This window comes from Homo sapiens, chromosome 8 (genome assembly GCF_000001405.40).
Source record: "Homo sapiens chromosome 8, GRCh38.p14 Primary Assembly".
NCBI lineage: Eukaryota > Metazoa > Chordata > Mammalia > Primates > Hominidae > Homo > Homo sapiens.
In genome coordinates, this window is record NC_000008.11 from 102961368 (window position 1) to 102980165 (window position 18798).

An 18798-nucleotide genomic window follows, 5' to 3' on the forward strand; every position below is an offset into this window, starting at 1 on the left:
CTCATAACCACCGCATTCCAGATTGGCTGGAGAAGAAGGGTCAGCGCTAATACCAGCATGTGTGGGAGGAAGTGAGTGGACCTTTCCTCCTAGGATTTGCGCTTAGATTGAGGAAACCTGAGAAGGAGCAATGGATTCCTTCCCTCCCCTCCCCTGCTCTCCCCAGCTCCCTTGATACTGCGGCTACACCCACCTGCTGGTGGCGATAGAGTTAAAGGCCCTGGGCTATGCAGTCCCAGCCTTTAGTAACAAGTGCTTGGTTCTGACACCAAGAACAGAAGGAAGAGGAAAACAGGAAAAAATGAGTCAGTATGGGATCTGCAGACACTATCACATGCACATCTTCCTGTATAAATTGCAGGACCTCCCACGGGTAGATGCCTGTACCTACAAAACGATCACAGAAACCTGCAGCAAAACCACAGCAGCTGCACTTATGTGACCATCTTGTGGGCTGCTATTAGCAAGGGAACTAGAACGAGGTCAGGGAGGCTTTAGACCAGTCAGCTAATGTAGACCCAGGGCCCATCAACCACGTGGCCATGCCGCCAGTGTCAAATACAGAAGCAGGAGACCTGAGAAACTGTGGCACCTCCAAGGTAAATGTTGCACTCAGTTCCAATGCTTCGGCCATGGAAATCTGGCTTGGCATGCAAGCAGCAGGGCACTGCAGCTGCAGAAACAAACGTTCCTGTGGTTAAAGGGGGTGAGCACTTACATAATTGAACATCAAGCAAATACAGAACAGATCTGAGAGCTTAATAGGACCAGTGTTATTCTCAGGAACAAGCAAGAAGAATTAGCAATAAGAAGCAGAAGCGGAGAAATATTCCCTGTTGTGGAGGAACAGGGATTCATAAAAGAATTCACCATATAAAAAGGTACACATACACATTTATGCTTGGTAAAGCTATGCAGTACATTGTATAGTTTATATTTACTGGTATTTTTTAGTTATTTTTATTGTTTCCTTTCTTTGTTCTCTAAAGGCCTGAGTGAAAGAACCCCTTGAGGTGGGATATACACACCCTGTGAAATGCTGAGTTGTGTCCCAAAGATGCCAAACATTGTCAGCCTAGATCTTTATTTTGAAAATTTGTTTATTTATTTTTGAGACGGAGTCTCACTCTGTCACCTAGGCTAGAGTGCAGTGGCGTGATCTCAGTCTCCTGAGTTCAAGCGATTCCCCTTCCTCTGCCTCCAGAGTAGCTGGGATCAGAGGCTACTGATCCACCACGCCTGGCTAATTTTGTATTTTTTTTTAGTGGAGATGGGGTTTTCCATGTTGGCTAGGCTGGTCTCGTATTCCTGACCTCAAGTGATCCACCTGCCTCGGCCTCCCAAAGTGTTGGGATTACTGGCGTAAGCCACTGCGCCCAGCCTGAAAATTTATTAACTAGTCATTTTACTCCCAGTCTTTCTGCCCTCTGGTTAATCCTCTATACTGCCACTAGAATTATTTCTTTTCTTTTGAGAGACAAGGTCTCACTCTGTCACCCAGGCTGGAGTGGAGTGGCAAAACCTTGGCTTACTGCAGCATCAACCTCCCTGGCTCAGGTGATCCACCCGCCTCAGTCTCCACAGTAGCCGGGACTACAGGTGCACACCACCATGTCAGGCTAATTTTATATATATATATTTTTCTTTTGTAGAGATAGGGGTTTCACCATGTTGCCTAGGCTGGTCTCAAACTCCTGGGCTCAGGTGATCCTCCCACCTCGGACTCCCAACGTGCTGAGATTACAGGCGTGAGCCACTATGCCTGGCCTAGAGTTATTTCTTTTCATTTTTCTTTCTTTCTTTTTTTTTTTTGGAAACGGAGTCTTGCTCTGTTGCCCAGGCTGGAGTACAGTGGCGTGATCTCAGCTCACTGCAACCTCTGCCTCCTGGGTTCAAGGGATTCTCCTGCCTCAGCCTCCCGAGTAGCTGGGATTACAGGCTCCCACCACCACGCCTGGCTAATTTTTGTACTTTTAGTAGAGATGGGGTTTCGCCATGTTGCCCAGGCTGGTCTTGAACTCTTGACCTCAAGTGATCCACTCGCCTCAGCCTCCCAAAGTGCTGGGATTACAGGCACATGCCACCATGCCTGGCTAATTTTTGTATTTTTAGTAGAGACAAGGCTTCACCATGTTGGCCAGGCTGGTCTTGAACTCCTGTTCTCGTGATCCCCCCGCCTCGGCCTCCCAAAGTGCTGGGATTACAGGCGTGAGCCACCGCGCCTGGCTGAGTTATTTCTTTAAAACATGGATTGTTTAGATCATGATTAGTTGCATAGAACATAAAATTACAAAAGTTCACTGCGTTTTGTGATCTATTTCTGAACTGTTTTCCAAATTCTTCTTTCCTGACCTGTTTCTCCCATCACAGGCTATACCTGCTTTTCTCTTTGCAGATTCTGGTTTAGACTGTGCATGCTTCTCTATTTTCATCTCTCTCCCAGCCCCTCTCTCACACTATGTGGGACAATAGCCAACTCATCACCAGATGTTTTCAGTTCACGGGCTGTTTCTTTCATCTGGTCTCCCTATGGTGTGCTGGAGCTGCTCTAACTAGCTTAGACACTTCTAGTCCCAACTCCGTGTTCAGTGACATCATGTTGGTAGCTTGAGATTTGCTGCAGGAGGAGTATTTACACCATGGAAATTGGCAAGTGATACAATCACGGCTTTTGTCCCCCTCCTGGAATGCCAGTTGAACATTCACCAGCACACCATTGTCATCTCCAGCTCTTTGCTTGGAAGATTTCTACTTATCCTCCAAGACAGAGTGCTTCTCTCTGAAGCTTTCTTGGACTCCTACAGAGGAACAGGGAGAAGAAAGCAATTCCTCTGTGCTAAGCATCTGGGCTGGGTGCTTTACATACATAATTCTCATGCTTCTATTAGAGCAGTTGCATCATATTACAAGTATTTGTGATTGTCTCTCTGCTAAGTTCTAAGGGCAAATATTGCAATCTATATTCACCTTTAAAACCCTATGTGCCTTCAAGATATCTTGTAAATTGTGAGTTCTTAGTGAATGTCACAGTGTTTAAGCAGGAACTAGGAGGAAAAGCTGCATTGCTTTGTTTCATCTGTCTCTAGCCTCCCAGAGAGTACCCCTTACACCATGAGCAATGCTAAATATTTTCCCAAGGTCTTCTGATAGGTGATTTTAAAAAAAATCTACAACAAATCCATTCATACAAGGGTATTACCAGTATAATACTTCTGGAGTTTTTACAGATGTTAAAGGGGCTGTAGGAACAGATGTATAAAGATGGAAATTTTAGGTCTCTGAAAGCCATGGGAGAAAGACATGTTGGTAAAAGGGGCTTTTCAGTGACCACGTTTTTTTTTCCTTTTTTTGAGACAGGGTCTCGCTCTGTCACCTAGGCTGGTATGCAGTGGCGTGATCACGGCTCACTGCAGGCTTGATCTCCCAGCCTCAAGCGATCCTTCCACATCAGCTACCAAGTAGCTGGAATGACAGGCATGCGCCACGGCATCTAGCTGATTTTTTTTTTACTTTTAGTAGAGATGAGGTCTTGCTATGATGCCCGGACTAGGTGGCCACTCTTTTAAACCTATGAAGTAGGTGAGGTACTTAACATAGTACTGGTCCTGAAATCTGGAATTTACGTATTTATTTATTTATTTATTTTTGAGGCGGAATCTCCCTCTGTCACCCAGGCTGAAGTGCAGTGGCACAATCTTGGCTCACTGCAGCCTCCGCCTCCCGGGTTCAAGTGATTCTCCTGCTTCAGCCTCCTGAGTAGATGGGACTACAGGCATGCACCACCATGCCTGGCTAATTTTTGTATTTTTAGTAGAGACGGGGTTTCACCATGTTGGCCAGGCTTGTCTTGAACTCCTGGCCTCAGGTGATCCACCTGCCTCAGCCTCCCAAAGTGCTGGTATTACAGGTGTGAGCCACTGCGCCTGGCCTGGAATTTATAAAGGTAGTTGCCTCCTCCTTGTTGTTCTTCTCCTTCATCTCCCTCACCCTCCTTGTTGTTCATCATCATCATCATCATTGAATCCTGGTGTAGAGCAGGGCTAGGCAAAGCTAAGAAACCATTCAACTGACTTAAAGCTGTTTTGGGAAGCGTATAATTGTCCTTGTTTCACCTTCTCACTTTTCCTTAAATGTATTAAAGCATCAAAACATTATGAAAAAAGCTGTTTTCTGTTGTTTGGGATGCTTTGTAAATATGACTCTTTCACCCTCACCTCAGACAGTATTAATTTAACCTGATTTGAATAGATGCTGTGAAATGATTGGCTGAAAGGTCCTTCCATGTAATTTATTCAAGTCAACATCACCAAAAGTTAAGGTAGAGATAAAAAACTGTGTCGCCCTCATCCTTAAGAAAGCAATAGCAGATACAGAAGCAACAGTAGAGTATGTCTGCTGTATTCTGAACCTCCTGCTGCACTAATACATTTCTGCAGCAACAGTAAAATACTCTGATCTTACTGCTTATTGGCCAAAGAGTTGCAGCAATAAGATGAGAATAGAGATGATTATGGGCTGCAGAGGGGGTTTCCTGGAAGAGAGGAGACCTGGAGGACAGGTGGAATGGAGTACTGAGGCTGTCTTGAGAGAAGAAAGTAACTGGGGTAAACGGTGAGGGCAGCATTTCCCAATCTGTGTTTTGCAAAACAGCATTTGCCAAAAATAGTTCCAAGGCCAAAGAAGTTTGGGAAATACTGTGTATACCCATCATAAATTAGACTGTTACAGACTCTGAGGAGATCTGAAGTGAAGAAACTTGTTTAACTTTGTTTAACCTAAGTTTCCCTAATGTACAGGATCATGGAATCTGCTTTTTGGTAACACGCGTTAGCATCTTTCAGAATGTTCATGCTCTATGACTGGAACACTGCTGGGAAGCACTAATTTATGATTTTTTTTTTTGAGACAAGGTCTCGCTCTGTCACTCAGGCTGGAGTGTGGTGGTGCCATCACGGCTCACTGAAGCCTTGACTTTGCAGGCTCAGGTGATCCTCCCACCTCAGCCTCCCGAGTAGCTGGGACTAGAGACATGCCACCACGCCTGGCTAATTTTTGTATTTTTTGTAGAGACAATTTTAACCATGTTGTCCAGGCTTATTTGTGCAGTTTTTGAGACTTCAAAAGAGTTAATCATACTACTCAGTTCATGCTACCTTATCATCACATTTTTGGGAAGGTTTCTCTTATTTTATTTTATTTTACCCCTAACCCCTACCCCTGACCATAAGTTACTACTTTCACATTTTCATATATTTTCTTAAATATGCCTTTGTCTTATAAAGTGTATTGTGTTAGTGTATGTGCTATAAATGTTGTTTTTTGCTATTTTTTCTCAGTACTATATTTTAAAGAACTAAAATTATTGCCGTGCATGCATTTCATTTGTTGTTTTTATCACTGCACAAGACTCCATAGTATGCAATCCACCCATTTTATTCATCCTTTCCTCCACTACTGGAAACCGAGGTTGATAGCAAATAGTCACATGTACTAGATAATCATTTGAATATTTTACCTCTAGCCAATAAATAATAAACCTGGCCAATTGTGGCAAGCTGACCTGATCAAGTCCTAGCAGTGATGAAGAGTGAATTTCAGAAGAAGCAGCCTTCGGATAATTTGCTAGAGCAGAAGCTGAAAATCACTTAGCTCAACCCAAATCTGCCTCTGAAACTGTCATCTTTACGCAGTTTTCAAAATTGTGCTCTTGACATTAAAGTATGACTGTTAAAACATTTTCTTTAAAATGCAGAAAGGAATAGAAATGATTTATTATTGACCTATGGCAAGTGGCCTTGAGCTAAGACTCAGGCAGTCTGTCCAGTTGAGCAGGTCAGGGAAGGAGGTGGGATGGAAATAAGGCCAGATGAGTCTCCTGAGAGGCTCCTAAGGAGACAGGTTGACTTTCTCTCAGTTACCCACCCCCAGGACCATATACTTCCTGTTTGTAGGGCTAACCAAAGTATTTAATGCTAGGAATCTCAGACTTCAGGTAGTAACTAGGGAAGAGAATTATGTCAATTTGGGGGAGTCAAGAGGAATGCCAAACTCAGAGGAAACAGCTAATGATGTTGAGCAGGAAGTTTCATAGAGTCCAAGAACTTCTGAGCAAAGAGGAGACTCCTCCAGGTAATGAAAGTACCTGGAACTTGTTCTCAACTTGGAAGTTCTTCACTTCCTTAAGAGTGTGTGATTGTGAAAACCCTCCTAATACTATCCTGCGCTTCAGGTGGACGGTGGTGAGCTGTGTTTCCAGGCAAAGGGGAGGACAGGACGCCTTGTGGCAGCCCAAGCTGTGAAAAATAGGTATTGAAAAAGAAGACATTTTTTACTTTTTCTTTCTTTCTTTTTTTTGAGACAGCATCTTGCTTTGTCGCCCAGGCTAGAATGCAATGGCACGATCATGGCTCACTGCAGCCATAACTTCCTGAGCTCAAGCGATCCTCCCATTTCAGCCTCCTGAGTAGCTTGGACTACAGGCCTGTGCCACCACACCATGCTAATTTTTTCTATTTTTCGTAGAGATGAGGTCTCACTATATTGCCCAGGCTGGTCTTGAACTCCTGGGCTCAAGTGATTCTCCCATCTCAGCTTCCCAAAGTGCTGGGATTACAGGCCTGAGCCACCATGCCCAGCTCTTTTCTTATATTCTAGCATTATATGAATTCCCACCATAACCAACATACATGAATATTGACAAAGAGACAGCTGAACTTAGAGAATGAACTTGGTGTATGTATAAATGGAGAGACTTTGAATTTTCTGTAATTGGGGTGGAAAACCAGACAGCACAAACACTTGAGAGGATGAAAAGGGTTGCTGGACAACAGAAGAAAAGCAGCTGAGTTGAGCAACAGACAGCCTTCTGGATAACAATGTCTAAGGGTTTTTACCAGTTCACTGGTGACGATTGCATAGAGTTCATTTTATTACTTACATCTAGAAAGCTCTAAGTCAAAAAACCTCTTTAGATACCCATAATGTAGAAGTCACTACACCTACAAATTGTAGCCCAGACTAAAGACCAGAGTGAAAAGGTCAGGTGAGCAGCCAAGTTACAGATGGAGGTCTTAACAAAGCTTATTTTTGGTGGGGTCTGTTGCATGTTGGATTATTCTAGGAAGAAAAAGCTAAATATTGGGCCTAGTACAAATGTTTATTGGATTAGATTTCATTTGGTGTTGCTTAAATCAGAGAAAAAAACATCCCTCTGTCTCAAGTGTGAGATTTCTGTGTTCATGCCTTTGGTTCTGGGTCTTTAGCTCTGTCCCAGAATGATATAGTCAAATGAAGCTGTGCTGAGGCGGGCCTCTGGTATAATGCAGCACCCAGCCACACGCATGAATCTAGCCAAACACATCCAGGCTTGCCAGATGTTTCAGCAGAACACACAATCCATCTGTTCATTTGGCACTTTGCTGATGCATGTGGGAAAGCTCACAGATGCCAGGGCCTGGCTTCCAGCACTAGCGACAATAGTAATGACTTAAGAGAGATATTTATTTTGTGTATTTACTCAGATGTTTGGAAATGAGCTTTGGAAAAATCAATAAAGATAACAAACTGCAGGGAAACTTCAAGATAATCAGTTCCTTCTCCTTGGTGTTGAACAATAATTATCCTGTAATTCTCCCATTTTGAAGGAAAAAAAGTTTTTTCTTAAGCGTTTCTAGTCAGACCTGAGTCTAAAATGCAATCAACCCCTCTCTCTCCTTTCTTACTATATATCTACAAATATGTATCTATATGCATATACCTATATCTATATACATACCTATATACACATACATATATATTAATATACGACATATATGTGCGTGAGTGTATACACATCTTATTGGTTATATGGGGAGGTAGAGAAAATATAAGTTATGATCTTTGTCTATTTCTGAGAAAGATTTTTTTGATCTAAGTTCTTAGGAAGTTCTACTAATTACCCCTTCCTACTAGGGTTTCTTTTTGTTGTTGTTTTTTTGGTTTTTTGTTTTTTTTTGAGATGGAGCCTCACTCTGTTGCCCAGGCTGGAGTGAAGTGGCATGATCTCAGCTCACTGCAACCTTCGCCCCTTGGGTTCAAGTGATTCTCCTGCCTCAGCCTCCCAAGTAGCTGGGACTACAGGTGCATGCCACCACACCCAGCTAATTTTTGTATTTTTAATAGAGACGGGGTTTCACCATGTTGGCCAGGATGGTCTCCATCTCTTGATCTCTTGATCTGCCTACCTCGACCTCCCAAAGTGCTGGGATTACAGGCATGAGCCATGAGCCACTGTGCCCCACCCCTACTAGGGTTTCTTAGTGGAGTGGTCTGCAATGAGGGATCAGGATGCCTGAATCTTTCTCCCCATAGTGCTAGAAAGAAGCTGTAACCTTGCGGAAGTGATTAATTTCTCTGGATTCAGTTTCTTCAGTTACACAATGGACTAGAGGACACTCAAGGATGTGGCTACTGCAGACTTTCTGGGGCTCTGACTCCCTTCTTGATCAATCTCTCTTTTCCCCCCAACCCCCACCGCCTTTCCACTTAGAGCCCTCTGAGTGAAAAATGTGTGAACATTGGTGGTCTTCTTCCCATCTGTCATTCTGTGTGAGGAAGGAGTATAGAGACCACCCAGCAGCCATGCCCCCTTCTAGTGTAGCGGCACTCTGCATTCCTTTAGGGGAATGCACTCTCTGTCCATGTGCTTGGGGTGGGGGAGCTCTGACTCAGACTCCAGGCCAGGACAATCAGTGACCCCAACACCCAGGACCCATAACTGGCCCAATCAAAGTGAATCCCAAAACTTCTGCTCTCCCAAGAAGAGACTGCCTTTCCACCTGCAGCTGGGGGGCTGTGGAGCTAGTGGTGCTATAGTCAGTTTATCACCAAAGGAGAGGGAATGTCTATCTCAGAAAGGAGCCAACAAAGACAAGAGCTGGAGAAACATAAACAGATTTGATGACATAATTTGAGTGCCTGAAGTCTTGGACTTTTCAGGCTTTTTGGTTTGTTTGTTTTTGAGACAGGGTCCCACTCTGTCGCCCAGGCTGGAGTACAGTGGCTCGATCATGGCTCACTGCAGCATCATCCTCCCTGGGCTCAGAAGATCCTCCTGCCTCAGCCTCCCGAGTAGCTGGGACTACAAGGTGCACCACCACGCATGGCAAATTTTTAAGTTGTTTGCAGAGACGGGGTTTCATGATGTTGCCCAGGCTGATCTTGAACTCCTGGGCTCAAGCGATCCTCCTGCCTTGACCTCCCAAAGTACTGGGATTACAGGTGTGATACAGGTGTGAGCTACTGCACCTGGCCCAGACTTTTCAGTTATTAAACCATCAGGCTTTCTTCTTGGCTTAACTTAGGTTGGGTTTTCTGTCACATGCAGAAAGAGCCCTAATTTTCCAGATTTTGTTTTAATAGCACCTAATTTTATTAAAAAGGACACAATAATCTCAAATGTTCATATTAATTGTTATATCCTGATGTAACAAGCCAGTTTCTCTTCATTCACTGAGGGTCTATCTGAGCTTCTTCAGGTATTTTGAATCTTTTATCAATGTATGTGTAAGAAGATGGTAAAAAAAAAATACAAAAAAGGTAACTCAAAAATCTGTCAAACATCACAATAAAACCTGAAGAAATGAATTAAATCAGTGTTGGCGTTGCCCTACAGAACCACTGTAAGGAACAAGCAACCCAGGAGCCCACTGAAAGAACTAGGGAAGTCTTGAAAGCCAAAGAGGAACCAATGATGGCTGCTGTCTTGTGACACTCAGTCGCTTAAGAAGCGTTTCCAAATATTCTTAAGTAAGCAGCATCTCATCTTAATCTTGTTTTGCAGTCATTATTGTAATAAAGGCTAAGTCAAAGAACCTGGGGAAAAAAACCAGTGTTCCTTGGCTGGGCATGGTGGCTTACACCTATAATCTCAACACTTTGGAAAGAGGCCGAGGCAGGCTATCACTTGAGGTCAGGAGTTTGAGACCAGCCTGGCCGACATGGTGAAACCCTGTTTCCACTACAAATCCAAAAATTAGCTGGGCATGGTGGCATGCGCCTATAATCCCACCTGCTTGGGTGGCTGAGGCACGAGAATTGCTTGAACCCAGGAGGCAGAGGTTATAGTGAGCCAAGATCATGCCACTGCACTGCAGCCTGAGCTACAGAGCTGGACTCTGTCTGAAAAACAAAATAAAACAGTGTTCCTCTATTCCTTCTTATTGTTTTCTTTTATGTTTAATTGTTTTTTGTAGTGTACTGTTTTGATTCTTTTCTTATTTCCTTTTCTGTATTTTGTTAGTTACATTATTATTGGTTATCCTGGAGGTTACAATTCAACTCTTAAACATACAACAATCAATTTTGAATTCACATCACTTAGCTTCAAACATATACAAAAACTCTGCTCCTATAGCTCCATCCCCTTTTTAGGTTATTAGTATTGTCACAATTTTTTTTTTTTTTTGAGACAGAGTGTCGCTCTATCCCCCAGGCTGGAGTGCAGTGGCGCGATCTCGGCTCACTGCAAGCTCCGCCTCCTGGGTTTATGTCATTCTCCTGCCTCAGCCTCCCAGGTAGCTGGGACTACAGGCGCCCACCACCACGCCCGGCTAATTTTTTGTATTTTTATTAGAGATGGGGTTTCACCGTGTTAGCCAGAATGGCCTTGATCTCCTGACCTCGTGATCCGCCTGCCTCGGCTTCCCAAAGTGCTGGGATTACAGGCGTGAGCCACTACGCCCGGCTATATTGTCACAAATTACATCTTTAGACATTATGTGGCTATTAATATAGACCTATGATTATTATTTATGCACTTGTGTTTGAAATCATACAGGGAAGAAAAGGAATTACAAACTAAAAGTATAATAACACTGGCTTTGTTTTTACCTAGGTAGTTACATTTACCAGTGCTCTTTATTTCCTCACATGGTTTCAAGTTACTGTCTAGTGCCCTTTCATTTCCACTTAAAGGACTCTCTTGTAGGGTAGGTCTACCAGCTGCACATGTCAGGACAAGGAGGTGGAACCAACTTACGGGTGTCTGGGGAAGACACTTGGCAGCCCTTTCCTAGAAGCCAAAATCAGAGCCAAACTCCGCCAAGCACCCCATTTTGAACTGGACTCACAGGGAAGCTGTCATCTCTTCTGCCTCATTCGGCCTTTGAACTGGGAGTCAAGGCATCTAAAGCAGGCCAGTGTGACTCTAAAACCTTTGCTATGTTTTCTCCATCTCACATCATATATATATATATATATATATATTTTTTTTTTTGAGATGGGATCTTGCTCTGTTGCCCAGGCTGGAGTGCAATGGCACAATCTTGGCTCACTGCAACCTCCACCTCCTTGTTTCAAGCAATTATCCTGCCTCAGCCTCCTGAGTAGCTGGGATCACAGGCACCCACCACCACACCTGGCTAATTTTTGTATTTTTAGTAGAGACAGGGTTTCACCATGTTGGCCAGGCTGGTCTGGAACTGCTGACCTCAGGTGATCCACTCGCCTCCGCCTCCCAAAGTGCTGGGATTACAGGTGTGAGCCACCGTGCCTGGCCTGATTAAAGAATTTTTTAAAAGCACAGTAGAGAATCCAATTGTCTTGACAGGGAGAAAATCAAACCTTAAATACACTAAAGATTAAGTGACAAAAATTCTACACCAAACTTTTTTTTTTTTTTGAGATGAGGGGCTTACTGTGTTTCCTAGGGTAGAGTCAAACTCCTGGGTGTAACAAACTTTCCTCCTCAGTCTCCTGAGGAGCTGGGACTACAAGCACTCCAGGCAGATGCCTGGCTCCGCACAGACTATTTTTAAATTATAAATACCTCAAGTGATTAGTTGCCCTCTTAAAAATGCTATCTTTCAAAATGCAAAGTCAGCAAAAGAACCTGTTGATGCTCTCAAAGAACTTGCCATCTGTTTGGCAAGACATATGTAATAACTAGTGAACAAAAATACAGTCCCAGAGTAATTGCAGAAGTGCTTTTCAATTACCCTTCACTTACTCCAGCTGCCAGACAGATGAACACGTTCCCTCAGTACCACACTGCACTCTGAGTGCCTCTTGAGAACAGGACATTTGGGTACTGTATTAAGTTTCCTTTGGCTGCTGTGGCAAATTATCACAAACATAATAGCTTAAAACATGGATTTATCACATTACAGTTCTGGAGCTCAGAAGTCAAAAATCAGGTTTAGCAGGCTAAAGTCAGGGTCTTGGACAGGCTGTTTCTTTCTAGAGGTCTGAGGGAAAAATTGGTTTCCTTGCCTTTTTCAGCTTCAAGAGGCTGCCAGCATTCCTTGGCTCATGGCTGTTTCTTGGTGTCACTCCAACCTCTTGCTTCTATCATCATTGCTATGGTTTGGATATTTGTCCCATCCAAACCTCATGTTAAATTTAATCCCCAATGTTGGAGGTGAGGCCTAATAGGAGTTGTCTGGGTCATGAAGGCGGATCCCTCATGAATACATTAATGGCCTCCCTCAGAGGCAAGTGAATTCTTACTCTATTAATTCCCATCAGAGCTGGTTGTTTAAAAAGAGTCTGGATACCAGGCATGGTGGCATGCACCTGTAGTCCCAGCTACTTGGGAGGCTGAGGCAGGAGGATCACTTGAGTCCAGGCGTTTGAGATTGCAGTGAGCTGTGATGGCACCGCTGCACTCCAGCCTGGGCAACAGAGCAATACCCTGTCTCCAAAAAAAAAAAAAAAAAAATGGTCCTGGTACCTCCCCCACCTTTCCACTTCCTCTCTCACCATGGGATCTCTGCATAGGCCAGCTCCCCTTTTCTTCCCACCGTGAATAGAAGCAGCCTGAGACCCTCACCAGGTGCAGATGCCCAATCGTTAACTTTCCAGCCATCTGAATTGTAAGCCAAATAAATCGCTTTAAAAAAAATGATTTCAATAGTTTTTGGGGAACAGGTGGTTTTTGGTTCCATAGATAAGTTCTTTAGCGGTGATTTCTGAGATTTTGGTGCACGTGTCACCCAAACAGTATACACTGTATGCAATGTGTAGTCTTTTATTCTTCACCTCCTTCCCACCCTTCCTCCCGAGTCCCCAAAGTCCATTATTATCATTCTTATGCATTTGCATCCTCAGAGCTTAGCACCCACTCATAAGTGAGAACATATGATATTTGGTTTTCCATTCCTGAGTTACTTCACTTAGAATAATTAAACTTCTTTTTCTTTATAAATTACCCAGCCCTGAGTATATACCTTTATAGCAACACAAAAAGGTTAAGATAGTCACCTCTACTACTTACTGACCCTCCTGCCTGCCTCTTACAAAGACTCTTGGAAGTACATTGGGCCCATCCAGATAATTCGGGAAAGATTCTTAACTTCATCACACCCTGAAAAATCCCTTTTGCCATATAAGAAACATTTGTAAGTTTCTGGAATTAGGACACGAACATCTTTGAGGTGCCATTATTCAGCCCACCACAGATACTATCCCCCATCTTCTCCTCCCACAGTTGAGCTGTATGCCTAAGAATAGTTGGCTGTGTTTGTTTTTGGACTTGATTTGTGTTCGCTTTTGTAACTAATTTTAAAAATTAAGAAACCAGTGAAATCTGAGGGCAAAAAGAAAGACTTGCAGTGTGTATGAAAACAAGTAAAATGAACTAAGGTAAGTCACTAAAGAAATATGGTCACATAGGGTATGTAGCATGTGCCTGTAGTTCCAGCTACTCAGGAGACTGAGGAGGAAGGATCACTTGATCCCAGGCATTCAAGTGCAGCCTGGACAACATAGCAAGGAACTATCTCAAAAAAAAAAAAAAAAAAAAAAAAAAAAAAGTGGTCAAATTAGGTGTGGCCAGGAAATCTATGAAAGTTTTAGACAATAATTCACAACTCAAGAAGGATTAATCAATATATATAGGGATGGCTTGCGTAAGAAAGAAGAGGCAGAATATTTCTCAAGGGAGGTCTACTCAAACAAAAGGACTAGGCCCCATGTCAAAAAACTGGCCAACAAATGCACATTTAAACGCTGTTAAACGTTTAAAGTAGGTATGTTTAAATTATGATTTGCCTGCCTTAACCAACTTTTCAGGTTAACTAACCAACCTCTTACCAATCCTGATAAGAGGAATCCAATTAAATTTGATTCAGCGTTTTAGAGATAATACTAATCTATTAAGATAATAATTTGGCAGAAAGGTTTAATCAAGAGAGTGGAGCATAAACTGTATCGTGGATGTTATGTGGGATCTGAATGGATGGTTGGGGGTCAAAGCAAGGCACACGAGATGAAACAAACAGCATACAACTGTAGGGTTAGAAATGAGTAGGAATAGTCATTTCAACCTATGAGGTAGAACCCTGATAACTCCGAGTGTGGATCTCATTCCAGCAGTATCAGCAACACCTGGGAGCTTGTTAGAACTGCACATAGGGTGAGAGGAAGGAGAGGATCAGAAAAAATAGTGAATAGGTACTAGGCTTAATGCTTGGGTGATGAAATAATCTGTACAACAAACCCTCATGACACAAGTTTACTTATGTAACAAATCTGCACATGTACCTGTGAGCTTAAAAGTTAAAAAAAAAAAAAAAGAAAAGAAAAAAGAAAGAAATGCATCTTTCTGAGTGCTGTGGCTCACTCCTGTAATCCCAGCACTTTGGGAGGCTGAGGCAGAAGGATTGCTTGAGCCCAGGAGTTCAAGACCCGCCTGGGCAACATAATGAGACCCTGTCTTTACAAAAAATACAAAAACTTAGCCAGGTCTGGTGGCACATACCTGTAGTCCCAGCTGCTTGGGAAGCTGAGGCGGCAGGATCAATTGAGCCTGGGAGGTTGAGGCTTCAGTGAGCTATGATTGTGCCACTGCACTCCAGCCTGGGCAACAGAATGAGACCCTGTCTCAAAAAAAAAAAAAAAAAAAAGCATCTTTCAGGCCTCAGCCCAGACCCACTGAATCAGAATCTGCAATTTAACAAAACTCCAGGTAATTTAATTTCACATTAACCTGTGAGAAAGGCTGGTTTAGAGAGAGTGAGAGTCTTCCTAAACTGCACTGTAGAGTTAATATGGCACATATAAAACATAATGACAACTGAGTTATTAAGCACCTTCTATATGCCAGGCAAACTACCAGGTGCTTTGCAAACCTTGTCTTACTTATCTGAAAGATCCCAGTTTTGTAAAATAGAATTGATCTTTATTCTCAATAATGAAACAGTCTTTTCTGCTTTCTGCCATCCCTTTGGTTGAAGTTGGTATAAAGAATACATTAGTGTCTCAAAAATCTCAAATAATTGCTTTTTGAAATTCAGTATGTAAAATATTTTGACATAATTTTTTTTACTCCCTTCGTTGGCTGGGTTGCAAACTCTTACAGGTAGGAAGATCTCAAACTCCTTGATAATTTCAACCTATGAGAGAGAGGAAAAAAAAAACACAAGGGGAAACTCAAAAGCATTCTGGTTAGGACAGGGTAAAAAATAAATAAAATAAAATCAGCAAGAAATACACTCTATTAAGTGGAATTTGGAAATGATAAATCAGATTGAACCAAATCTTAGAGAGTTTGCAATAAAGTCTGGGTATTCTTACAGTGCTGCGTGTCTAAGCAGTTTATGCAAAAAGGGAGGGCCAAACCCTCTCTTTCCAAAGAAGGCAGTAAGACAGTCTGCCCTTTCCTTGCCCAGACTGGAAAACATGAAGTCCTTGTACCTTCTTGCCCCTCCCTGAGCTCAGCGTACAGCCCATACCGAACAGGGTAGAAGGAGTACCAGCAGCAACCCCGATGCTGGGATGTTGGGCAATAGTGGAGCACGATTAGTATGCCCATGCCTCACTCACTAGGGTGGTTTTCAGTAGACCTCCAGTTCTGACTAAGCTCCTCTCAACAAGATTCAGCCAGGCACTGTGGCACACGCCTGTAGTCCCAGCTACTTAGGAGGCTGCTGCAAGAGGATCGCCTGAACCCAGGAATTCGAGGCTGCAGTGAGCTGTGAGTGTGCCACTCCAGCCTGAACGACATTGCAAGACACCAGCCTCTAAAAAAAAAAAAAAATTTAAAAAACAAGAAAGATTCAGTGGTTCTTCACCCACTTGCAGACAGAGGGTCCCTAAAACGGTCAAGTGCGGGGTCCTAGTGCTCATTGCCATTGTGCTTAATTGTGACAGGAGTGGGGGCTGAGGGGATAGGAGGGCTGGGATAGGGGTGGGAGGGCATTCCTTTCCCTCAGGCTTTCACAGTGTACGTTTTGTATTCCAGAATCAGAAATCTGAGCGTAGGAAGAAGTGGGTTAGCCCTGGAGAAAGGAAAAGGAGGATCATGGTTCTCTGCAAAGAGCTGGAAGCTAAAAAGCAGGCTGTGTTTACTTACCAACCAGGACTCAGTGGGATCTTTGCCAGCTTCCAATATGGCCTTAAAAGTATATGAAATCCAAGAAATATTTCTGCAAAGCAAGAGATCTTCACTGCTTTATTTTCCACCACCTGAATCCTTGCAGTGAGTGTAGTGTGTATCTAATCAATCTATTAAAAAATACTTCAAAAGTTCTATATATGTATCAATATTTAATATTGTTTTTACATTATTTAAATGTTTTTCTAAATAATATTATAGTATATATATTCTGAAGCATTCTATTCAGTGACAAAGAATGATGTTTAGACAATTTACATTTATATAGGAAAACTCATAACCTGAATATGTCCTGTGGGATCAAACCACTGACCCTTCCAGGGTGGAAGAGACCTAAGGTAGTCAGCTTCCATCAAGCGGCCAGTTGGTCTCATTGAGGAATGGTGTCACATCAAGGGCTCAGTGTTGGTCTCTGTTGCAGATATATCAGACATTTGATAATGGCAGCAGCTGGATCAGTCTTGGTAAGGGTTGGAAGTATAGTTAGTCCTCACTTTGCATGGTCCCAATATGCACAAATCCTAGTTACCACCATTTAGTTAAATCACACCAGAACCCCAACAACATGGTTCAAATTTCAGCTACAACGTTATTAACTGTGCACAATTACACAAAGTACAAACCTCACTGTCAGCTCTTTAGTCCACAAATCACTATGTAAATAACAGATGCATAGCATGATCAATAACCAATCACACCTCTCCTTTCAAAGTCCACTAATGATTGGCCACTGCACATATGTTCAGTTCCTACACAGCAAAGCGTGTAGTTGTGTTGCTGATTTTCCTGTGAATGAAGCCACATGATGGTTTACAATAATGGATACTCAAAAGAGGAAATTGGCCAACAAAGATGAAAGCGCAGAAAAAAGTCCAAAAAGTAGTAATGCTAGAAATGAACTCCAAATTGAATGAGTTACAGAAAAACAGTTCACTGTGAGAATGTGGCCACTGCATCATTCAAGAGGATATGCAGCCAGAGGAACTTAGCAAAGGCAAACTTAACATAAATGAGGAAGGAAGTGTGGCAAAAAGCATGCTGTCTCAGAGGAAGCGGTCCTGGCAGAAACTTCACATTGAAGCAACTCTGGGAAATTTTTCATGACGCTGAAAACACAAAGGATAAAATGTTGGGAGCTGATCCAGTCTTAGAAAGGAGAACAATTCATCACGTCAGAGAAAAGATGCTCTCTCCATGTCGTAAGTTACACAAGAAGGTAAGCACTATCCAAATGACTCTTGTTGTTTCATTTACAATTTATTTACTCTTGCTATTTGTTTTCTTTTTCTTTTTTTGAGAGGGACTCTCACTCTGTAGCCCAGGCTGGAGTGCAGTGGCGCAATCTCGACTCACTGCAAACTCTGCCTCCAGGTTCAAGCAATTCTCCTGCCTCAGCCTCTCAAGTAGCTGGAATTACAGGTGTACACCACCATGCCCAGCTAATTTTTGTATTTTTAGTGGAGACGAGGTTTCACCATGTTGGCCAGGCTGGTCTCAAACTCCTGACCTCAGGTGATCCACCTGCCTTGGCCTCCCAAATTGCTGGGATTGCAGCCGTGAGCCACCGTGCCCGGTCTACTCTTGCTATTTATTTTCTATGTTGTTTATTTACGTAGAAATTTAATATTTCTAATGTTTAAATTACTAACGTTTAAAAACCTTAGATAATATACATTTAATAGTTTATTTTGAGCAAAGAACAATTCATGAATTGGTAGTTCTCAGAATCAAAAGAAATTCAGAATGCTTTGTTGCAGCAGCATGGGCAGTGAGCTTTTACACAAAGGGAAGATGAAAGTGTACTTCATTGGATTAGGTGGAAAGACCCTAGTTAGAGGTTAGCTGGTGTTTTCTTATTGGTAGTCTTTAGTTTTGTTTTACTCTTTACACTGGGCTCCAGTCTGCTTACATATAGGAACCTAAAGTGGTAGGGTTGCCTCCGTCTTGTTAAAAGAAAAACTTCAGCTGAATTAAATTTAAAGGAGTTTAATTGAGCAATGAATGATTCACGAATTGGGCAGTCCCCAGAATCACAGCAGATTCGGGGACTCCAGAGAAGGCTTGTGGTTAGAACAAATTTATAAACAAAAAAAGGGAAGTGATGTACAGAAATCAGCAGTGAGGTACAGAAACAGCTGGATTGGTTACAGGCTGGCATTTGCTTTATTTGAACATGGTTTCAACACTTAGCAGGCTATGAGTGGCTGAAATATGGCTGCTGGGATTGGCCAAAAATGCAGCTATTGTTACAGGTGCATGCTTCTAAATTAGGATTTCAATTTTGTATGCCTATTAAGCTAAGTTACAGTTTGTCCACAAGGACTCAAATATAGAAGCACGAAGTCCTTCTCAGGCCATATTTAGTTTGCTTTAACAGTCTAATGCCCTCCCTGTTAGAATTTTTGTTAAAAACAATTATTCTCTGC

At 42.7% G+C, this 18798-nt stretch overlaps 1 long non-coding RNA gene across 2 annotated transcripts in view, besides 3 other annotated features; it reads left to right on the plus strand.

The window, feature by feature from the left end:
• The window catches only part of MAILR (macrophage interferon regulatory lncRNA), a 113606-nt gene extending 97097 nt beyond the window's left edge, over window positions 1-16509 (plus strand). The window contains exons 3-4 of one of the 2 annotated variants that reach the window (NR_126338.1): window positions 6230-6306; window positions 16220-16509. This is a non-coding gene — a long non-coding RNA (macrophage interferon regulatory lncRNA). The remainder of the gene's footprint in view (window positions 1-6229; window positions 6307-16219) is intronic. The other variant, NR_126339.1, reaches the window with a different exon arrangement.
• Window positions 374-423: a silencer, noted in NCBI's record as "silent region_19452". NCBI's record gives its function as "represses an Ori minimal core promoter by ATAC-STARR-seq in GM12878 lymphoblastoid cells {active_cell/tissue: GM12878}" and the evidence as "EXISTENCE:reporter gene assay evidence [ECO:0000049][PMID:35858748]".
• Window positions 444-493: a silencer, noted in NCBI's record as "silent region_19453". NCBI's record gives its function as "represses an Ori minimal core promoter by ATAC-STARR-seq in GM12878 lymphoblastoid cells {active_cell/tissue: GM12878}" and the evidence as "EXISTENCE:reporter gene assay evidence [ECO:0000049][PMID:35858748]".
• Window positions 18337-18486: an enhancer, noted in NCBI's record as "active region_27785". NCBI's record gives its function as "activates an Ori minimal core promoter by ATAC-STARR-seq in GM12878 lymphoblastoid cells {active_cell/tissue: GM12878}" and the evidence as "EXISTENCE:reporter gene assay evidence [ECO:0000049][PMID:35858748]".